At 53.5% G+C, this 9411-nt stretch overlaps 1 annotated feature.

Annotated features, from left to right (window-relative positions):
- Window positions 5774-6068: a silencer, noted in NCBI's record as "tiled region #14803; HepG2 Repressive non-DNase unmatched - State 10:DNaseD". NCBI's record gives its function as "represses a minimal TATA promoter and a strong SV40 promoter by Sharpr-MPRA in HepG2 cells {active_cell/tissue: HepG2}" and the evidence as "EXISTENCE:reporter gene assay evidence [ECO:0000049][PMID:27701403]".

Raw genomic sequence — 9411 nt, forward strand, 5'->3', positions numbered from 1 at the left:
GTTCCTATAAGCACAAGGAGGAACATGCGAGATGCTGGGATTGGATGCTCTGGGCCTGGGGCTGGTGTTTCCTCATGCCCGGGCTATTTCCTTTTGGCCCTGGGCATGCAGTCATGTGCTTCCTTTCATGGGCGGGTTGGGGACCAGGGCCAGCGAGCAGAGACGGTCCCCAGGGCTTCTCCATCACTGGCTCTCCCCAGGAAGCAGCCTCAGCTGGCGTGCTGGGGACCGGAGCTGGCCATGAGGGAGGGGTGGACAGTGGAGGAACCGGCTGCCCAGCTCAGCAGGGATTTGTGGAGGCTGACTTGCATGGTTTCGGGTTTGCCTTGCCTGGAAGCCTGGCCAGGGGAGGCTCAGGTTTCTCGCCAGCTGGCCTTCCTCCTCCTCCTCCGTGTGAGTGACGCCCCATGGCCATGATGTCATCACCTCGTACAAACAGAAGGGAGACTGGCTTGGCGGAGCTGGCGGCTGTCCCATGCTGAGTGCAGCAGTAAATTTCATTTCAAGGCTATGATTAGGTCTGTGCCCAAGAATGTCCCCTCTCTCCTCCCCTCTCCCCAGGCCTGTTTTTCTCTCTCTGTTCCTGTCCCGCCTGCTTTTCCTCCTTGCCCTCCCCTCTGGTCCTTCCTCTCTCTCCTCTGGGGATGCTTCAGTTTCTCTGTGATATGGACCCTGTGGCCAGCAGCAGCATCAGGCCCGAGCCAGACTCTCATTACCTCCAGTTTCAAACTCAGCCTCACGTCCTCTGGAACCGGCTTCCTGAAGCCTGGGACAGGTCTGAGTCCCTGGATTCCTCCTGGGGAGGATGGGTTGGGGTGAGGGGCAGAGTTCCTGAAGGTCCTCATTCAACCTTGAGCTGGAGTGCTGGACAGCAGGAAGAGCAGGCTTGGGGGTGGCTGTGGTCACTACCACCGAGATCAGAGGCAGTGAGGCAGGAGAAAGGTGAGAAGGAGCCAAGCTTCTTGGAAAGCGATTCAGATCCTTCTCGCCATTCCCAGCTGGTTTCTGGAGATTTGAGTCTGACTCGTTAACTCACTTTTTGGCATGGCCACCCTTCCTCTCAGCCCCCAGAGGGCCCCTAGGCTCTGTGGACACCTGTGACAGCCCTGTCACCCATCACACTCTGCCTTGCCTCTTGCGTGACTGGCTACCCTGGTTCTGTCCTGGTGCTCTCCGGCCCAGGAACAAGGCTGACGGCTCGTCACCCCTCAGCGTCCCCTGCATTCACCGGCCCCTGCTTGCCTCCCCTCGAAGGTGCCACCCAGCCAGAGCCGTGTTGCTGTGGATGCCCATGAGGAAGGCTCCGATGTCTGGGCAGGTGGTGTCCCACCGCACCTGCACTGGGCTGGGCTCCCTGCTGGGGTAGAGGGTGCTCTGGGTCGCTGTCGGTGCTGCCTGTCCTGTGGGACTGTGGTTCTGACCCCTTGAAGGAGGTAGCAGAACGCCCTAGATGTGGCCTCGTTGATGAGAGAGCCCACAGTCACTCCCAGCCCCATCAGACACTGCCTGCCCCGCATTCAGCCATCCTTCCTCATTAAGACCGGCCTGGCCTCCAACCCCTGCTCACCAGGCAACAGCCAGCTGAGAGTGAGGCGATGCGCTGCAGCCCCGGGGAGGGGCCCAGCTGGGGCGGGGCGGAGATGCAGTCGTCCTAGCAACCGGCAGAGGTGGACCCCGCATTTCTGTGGCTCATCACCCTGACTTCATCCAGACTCCCTGTATTTTATCTCATAGATTTCTCATTCTGATGTCTGTCTCCCCTACTGACTGTAACCTCTTAAGGCTATAGTTCATGTATTCATTCAACTGGTATTTACTGGGCACCAGCCATGGGCTGTGCAGACGTCAGGGAAATGGATGGGGAGTGACCCCTCCTTCCTGCAGCGCAAACCATCCTTTAATATGAAAGAGACAGAGACCATTGCAAAGAGTGTGCTGGGTGCGGTGACTGTGGTGCGACCCAGGACAATGGACGGGCGCCAGCAGGGTTGGGGTGGTCTGGGGGGGCTGTCTGGGATGTCTCGAGTGGGACCTGGAGGTTGAGTCAGGGTGATCCAGGTGGAGGAGGCAGGCACTGCTTCAGACCAGGGAGCTAGCGGCGCTGGGAGGCCCACAGGCCGGAGGACACCCAGGACTCCAGGGGGTCAGGCTGGCTGAGCCAGAGCCGGGTGGGGGCAGAGCCTGGGCTGTCGGCACAGGGGGCTGAAGGTGAGTGCAGGGAGATGGAGACAGCGGCAGCTGTTGGTGGTGACTCACTGCTACTCCGATGATTGGAAACACATGTTCCCGCCGAGAGGCGCGTTTATTACTCACAGCCGAGGGTTCTTGGACGACATGGACGTCAACAGGGAGAGGGGTGGGGAGGGAGAGTGGTCGGCGGTGGGGTGGTGGGGAGGGGCTCCAGGGTCCCTTACTTGTCGCTGCTCACCGACTCTGCCCCTTAGAGTCTGCGACAGGATGCTCTGGCCATATTCCTACTTGCTACTTAAAAAAAAAAAAAAAAACAAAAAACTTATGGCCAGGCGCCATGGCTCACGCCTGTAATCCCAGCACTTTGGGAGGCTGAGGTGGGCAGATTGCCTGAGGCCAGGAGTTCGAGGCCAGCCTGACCAACATGGTGAAACCCCATCTCTACTAAGAATACAAAAAATTAGCTGGGCCTGGTGGTGGAGGCCTGTAATCCCAGCTACTCGGGAGGCTGAGGCTGAAGAATCACTCGAACCCGGGAGGCAGAGGTTGCAGTGAGCTAAGATCGCACCACTGCACTCCAGCCTGAGCGACAGGGTGAGACTCTGTCTCAAAAACAAACAAACAAAAGTATTATGAAAAATTTCAGAATTGCAAGGACAGAGGCCAGTACCAGGCTGACCATGGACCAACACCCACGTTGGAAACTGATCGACTCATCCGGGTTTGTTTCATCAACATCCACCCAAGAGGATTATTTCGAAGCCGATCCCAGACATTGTAGTTCACAGGCAAATATTGGAAGAACTTTTTTTGTTGTTTTTACAATTTTATTTCTTATTTCTTTTTAAATGATTACCTTCTCTTCTTCTGGATAGAGAAGCATGTCAACTTTATATGGCAGCGGCTTATCTTAGCACAAGACATTTCTCTTAAGGGCAAAACCAGCTTCCCAGCATCCTTGCCTTGGAATCCTCACCCTCTGTGAAAACACACAACTTTTCACCCATCCTTGCAAATATGCCCTGGGGATGCCTTCAGGCCTGAACATTTTAATTTGGCAGGTGGCCAAGCAATATGCTTTATTTCTCCTTCCTAATTCTTGAGGATGCTGAGAGGCTCTGCCCGAGGCATCGGCTATAGGTAAAGGCTTGTCATTTTTTTTGAGATGGAGTTCTGCTCTTGTTGCCCAGGCTGGAGTGCAATGGCACAACCTCGGCTCACTGCAACCTCCGCCTCCCAGGTTCAAGCAATTCTCCGGCCTCAGCCTCCCGAGTACCTGGGATTACAGGCACGCGCTACCACGCCCAGCTAATTTTTGTATTTTAAGTAGAGACCATGTTGGCCAGGTTGGTCTTGAACTCCTGACCTCAAGTGATCCACTCACCTTGGCCTTCCAAAGTGCTGGGATTACAGGCGTTGAGCCACCGCGCCAGGCCAAGGCTTGTGATTTCTCAGGAGACTGGAGGTTTCTACGTGGGTGAAGGGACATTTGAAATATGATTATTACTTACCATGTTGGGATGCCTATGACATGCCACTTCCAAGCCATGATCTGATCTGATTCTCCTCCCACCGTGCAGTGCGGAAGGAGAGTTTAATACAGCAGCTCAACTGGGCTTGAGAATCAGATAAGCCGGAGTTCGCCTCCTACCGCCAGCTGGGTGACCTGAGCATGCGTGCTTCATGGGCTCCACCTCTCCTTCATTATTTGGAAAATGGGATCGTGCTAGTACCTGTCTGAAGGAGCTCACGGAACAGCGTGGAGCACATGGCAAGTTGTTGTGATGTTGGCTATGAAGGAGCCAAGAAACAAAAGCAGGATCGTACAGCTGGGAGGTTGCTGGAGCCAGGATTCAAACCCCCCCGCCAAAAGCTGTCAGACCCTGAACGCTGTCCCCCTTTTCCACCAGCAGGCACCCCTGAGCTCCCTTTGTTAGTGTCCACTGACCGACCCGGACCAGTGACTTTTGGTCCTGATCTGAAAGGTCTCTCTGCTGGGACCCATCCCATGGGCACCAGGGTTAGGGGAGATGTCCAGGGAAGCATTTTCCTTAAGAGATCAAGAGCCTTGGGAACCAGTAGCAAGGGGGGCCTTTCAGCCAATGTGGAAGTGGAGAGGAACCAGAAGAGAGCCATTCCTTTCCCCCGGAGGCAGGTGGAGGCCGCTCCTCCCACCTGCGGACAGGTCGCCTTAGTGTGACCCAGTCCAGATCTTTGGCAGTTTTGTTTTGTTTTTGAGACAGGGTCTCACTCTGTCACCCAGACTGGAGTGCAGTGGTGCGATCTTGGCTCACTGCAGCCTCAACCTCCAGGGCTCAAGAGATCCTCCCGTCTCAGCCTCCCAAGTAGCTGGGACCACAGGTGTGCACCGCCACACCCAGCTAATTTTTGTACATTTTGTAGAGAGAGGGGGTCCCCCATGTTACCCAGGATGGTCTTGAACTCCTAACCTTAAGTGATCCGCCCACCTCGGCTTCCCAAAGTGCTGGGATTACAGGCACAGAGCCACCACACCCAGTTGATATCTTTAGATTGTAAGGAATAGACCCCCAGATGAGACAGCTCAGTCGAAGGGGCTTCATTCAAATGATACAAGGAATGCCCTGTGACCTACGGGCAGAAAACACAGCTGGCGGGCAGGGGACTGCAGTGTCCTGGGGGCCACCCTCCCCTTCTTGCTCCTCGTGCTCCCGGCACCTCACCTCCACTGCTGCCCTCTCTGCCTCTACTCTCCCCACTGGCTCACTCTCTCTCTCTTTTTTTTTTTTTTTTTTTTTTTTTTTGAGACAGACTCTCGCTCTGTCGCCCAGGCTGGAGTGCAGTGGCGTGATCTGCACTCACTGCAATGTCTGCCTCCCGGGTTCAAGTGATTCTCGTGCTTCAGCCTCCCGAGTAGCTGGGATTACAGGTGTGCTTCATCATGACCGGCTAATTTTTGTATTTTTAGTAGAGATGGGGTTTCACTGTGTTGGCCAGGCTGGTCTTGAACTCCTGACCTCAGGCAATCCGCCTGCCTTAGCCTCCCATGATACTGGGATTACAGGCATGAGCCATGGCACCTGGCCCCCACCGGCTCTCTGCATCTCCATGGCCCAGTGTGACGGCTGTCACCCACTCTGCACCATTTTAGTTCAGATGCTCCCGTCTCATTCATTCTTCTCCCAGCGTCCCCCTCTTGGTAGTAAGGACCTGACTGAGCCAGCAGGGGCCAGTTGTGGCCACTGACACCAACCGGGTGGTCAGGGCCTGGGAGTCTGAAGGACAGGGCTGGTCTAGATGGGAGAGGGATGGACAGCTCTTGGAGGGAGGGCAGTGCCCCCACAAAAAGACTCATGGCAGAGCAGGTACAGTTGGGCCCTTGACTGGCCTCCTGTGAGGCCCTTCTACCCTCAGAACCTTTCAGCAACAGAAGGCAGTCAGGGGCTGGGCCTCTGGAGGGTCTGCCACACCGCTCGCTGTGACAGCCAGGTGCCCATCAGCTTGGGAGAGGTTGTGTTGGCCAGAAGGCTCCTGTGGGGCCCCATCCCTCAGGCAGCAATCTCTCTGGCCTTGATGGGGGAGGGGGAAGAACCCTATTTAAGGCAGATGAGTTCAGAATACTGGCCTTGTCCACTGTGTCTCCTGGGCAGCTGTGGAGGGCAGCGGCCACTCCAGGCTTGGCCATCGCCCGGGAGAGATGTCTGGGGCTGCCACCCTCATATTGGCTGCCAAAGAAAATATTTTTTTGCAGGTTTCCTGTGAGCTGAGAATGAAACTCAACACCCAGCAGGATGAGTTGTGCAGGGTGGGGAGGGAGGCTTGGCTCAGCGTGCTCCAGCCACACCAGGGCCTGAAAGTCTTGGCGGCTGAGAAGGGGCTGGGTGGGCAGAGCAGCCGAGAGTGGGGCTGGCCTGGGACCCCAGCAGAAATGGGGTTGTTGGGGCCAGGCATGGTGGCTCACGCCTGTAATCCCGGCACTTTGGGAGGCTGAGGCGGTCGGATCACCTGAGGTCAGGGGGTTGAGACCAGCATGGCCAACATGACGAAACCCGTTCTCTACTAAAAATATAAGAATTAGCCAGGCGTGGTGATGTGTGCTTGTAGTCCCAGCTACTCTGGAGGCGGAGGCAGGAGAATTGCTTGAACCCGGGAGGCGGAGGTTTCAGCGTGCTGAGATTGCACCACTGCACTCCAGCCTAGGCGACAGGGCAAGACTCCGTCTCAAAAAATAATAATAATAATAAAATGAGAAAAAAAATGGGGTTGTTGGGAAACTGCACGCACTAAAAAGGCAAAGGAGGGGACAGGCTGAGACTAAACACTCACCAAGAGGCATGTGCTAGAAATGACTTCTCAAGGGGGATTGCAGAAGCTCCAGCTAAAAATAAACAGGATAATAACAACCACTTCTGAAAAATACAGAATGCACAATGAGTTTAGAAAGTTCAGATAAGCCAAAAGAAAAAATACAGCCGATACTCATACAGAGAGCATTCCTCTTAGTATTCTGGCCCACATTATCCATTCTTTTTCTTTGCATATGATTCTATATATTTTTTCATATAGATGAACACATATATAGCTAGTGAGATCTCATGTGCTGATTTGTAGCCTTTTTTTTTTTTAACCCAGGAAGTTACCATGGACATCTTCCCACGTCATTAAGGGTTTTCCTGCAGTACCTCTTGGAATGTCTGCACAGCATTCCGCTGTAGCTCTCTCCCTCCCCAGGAGGCAGAATGCGGTTGGCAATGGCAATTGCAGGCTTGGTGGCCCTTATAGCTCCCAGCCCCAAAGAGTAAGCAGGTGTCCTCAGCCGTTGCCATGGAAAATACCTGAGGATGGCTCTGATTGGCCAGGCTTGGATCCTGTGCTCATCCTTGAGTCAATCCCTGTGGCCAGCAGGATTGAGGACTTGGATTGGCCAGGCCTGAGCCACGTGCCCATCCTGTAGCCAGGAGGAGGCAGGTGGAAGGGATGCTGAGGCGACAACAAGCAGAGATCCCCCAGGCTGCAAGCTGGCAGGAACTCCATAAATATGAGTGGGAAAATGCTCCATGGTGTCTTGGGCCTAAGGCTAAAGATCCAGCCCCTTCTCCTGAAGAAGCTTATAATTTTGGGGAGACCCCAAAATATGGAAAACTCAGTTTAAAAAGGGTTCAATGTCAAACATGAGATCAATGCTACAGGAGGACTTTGCTGCAGGACAGACTTGGGTTTAAGTCCCATTTCTACCATGACCTTGGCCAGTCTCTTTCCTTTTCTGGAGCCGAGCTTCCTTCCACGTAAAGTGGGAATAATATCACCTGCCACACTCATCAGTGGTTGAGAATTTGATCTGCTGCCATAAGCAATTTGGAGCCTGGCACGTAGTACATGTTTAATAGGTAGTAATTTGTAATAGCAGGCCAGGCATGGTGGTGGCTCACACCTGTAATCCCAGCAATTTGGGAGGCCGAGGTGGGTGGATCACTTGAGGTCAGGAGTTTGAGACCAGCCTGGCCAACGTGATAAAACCCCGTCTCTACTAAAAATACAAAAATTAGCCGGGCGTGGTGGTGGGCACCTGTAATCCCAGCTACTTGGGAGGCTGAGACAGGAGAATTGCTTGAACCTGGAAGGTGGAGGTTGCAGTCAGCTGAGACTGAGCCACTGCACTCCAGCCTGGGTGACAGAGTAAGACTCCATCTCAAAAAAAAAAAAAAAAAAAGAGTAGTAGCAGTAGTGTTCAGGGAAGGGAGACAGCATGATGCATAGACCCAGTGAGTGCTTGGAAAAGGCTGGAAAGTGAATGGTGGACTCATCACAGCCATAAGGTGGAAACAACCCAAGTGTCCATCGACTGAAAACTAAACACAAGGGGGTCCCTCCATGCAATGGCCATGAGAAGGAACAAAGTGCTGATCCATATGCAACCACATAGCTGAACCTAGAAAACATTATGCTAAGTAAAAGTAGCCAGACATAAAAGGCCACATATTGTGTGATTCCATTTATATGCAAGTCCATAGAGACAGAAAGTAGACTAGTGTTGACTCTGAGCTGGGGCAGTGGTGCAGGTACGGATGGGGAAATAGAGGCTTGATACTCGCAGGGTCCAGGGTTTCTCTTTGAAGTGATGAAAATGTTCTGAAATTGACTGTGCTGATGGACCCACATCTCTGAGGATAGTAAAATCCAGGGGCTGGGTGCAGTGGCTCACACCTGTAATCCTAGCACTTTGGCAGGCCAAGGCAGGCAGATCACCTGAGGTCAGGGGTTCGAGACCAGCCTGGTCAACATGGTGAAACCCCATCTCTACTAAAAATACAAAAATTAGCCGGGTGTGGTGACGTGTGCCTGTAATCCCAACTACTCGGGAGGCTGAGGCAGGAGAACCACTTGAAACTCAGCAGAGGTTGCAGTGAGTTGAGCTTGCGCCACTGCACTCCAGCCTGGGTGACAGAGTGAGACTCTGTCTCAAAAAAAAAAAAAAAGAAAAAGAAAAAGAAAACCATGGAACTGTCTGTTTCAAATGGGTGAATTGTACAGTAAGTGAATTCTATCTTCACATAACTATTATTTTTTTTTTTTATTTGAGGCAGAGTTTTCCTCTTGTTGCCCAAGCTTGGGTGCAATGGTGCCATCTCAGCTCACTGCAACGTCCGCCTCCTGGGTTCAAGTGATTCTCCTGCCTTAGCCTCCCAAGTAGCTGGGATTACAGGTGCGCACCACCACGCCTGACTAATTTCTTGTATTTTTAATAGAGACGGGGTTTCATCATGTTGGCCAGGCTGGTCTTGAGCTCCTGACCTCAGGTGATCTGCCTGCCTCGGCCTCCCAAAGTGCTGGGATTACAGGCGTGAGTCACCACGCCCGGCATAACTATGTTTTTAAAGGAAGGATGAAAGAAATGTGAATCTGAGACTTGAAAGCTGGGTTGAGTTTAGAAAGTCAGAGAAAAGAAACCTTCTAGGTGGCAGGGAGGGCTTGCCTGAGGCTGAGGGGAGCCAAGCGTGGTTCGAGGGCATGACGCTGGCAAGAAGAGGCTGATGGTGCAGGGCATGTCCTGGAAAGTGGGCGGGGAGGGTAAGGCAGGCCCGGAGGATGCCAGAGCCCCTCAGAAGAGGAGCCGGGGGCTGGGCCTCGTACTTCTACCTCTGTCCAGCTCAGAGTGCCAGGACAGACAGGGACCGCTCCATGGCCTTGTCAGGACGCTGTGAACAGGAGAAACTGTAAAAAGCCTCAGCTCACTGGCTCCCA

This window comes from Homo sapiens, chromosome 17 (genome assembly GCF_000001405.40).
Source record: "Homo sapiens chromosome 17, GRCh38.p14 Primary Assembly".
Taxonomy (NCBI): Eukaryota; Metazoa; Chordata; class Mammalia; order Primates; family Hominidae; genus Homo; species Homo sapiens.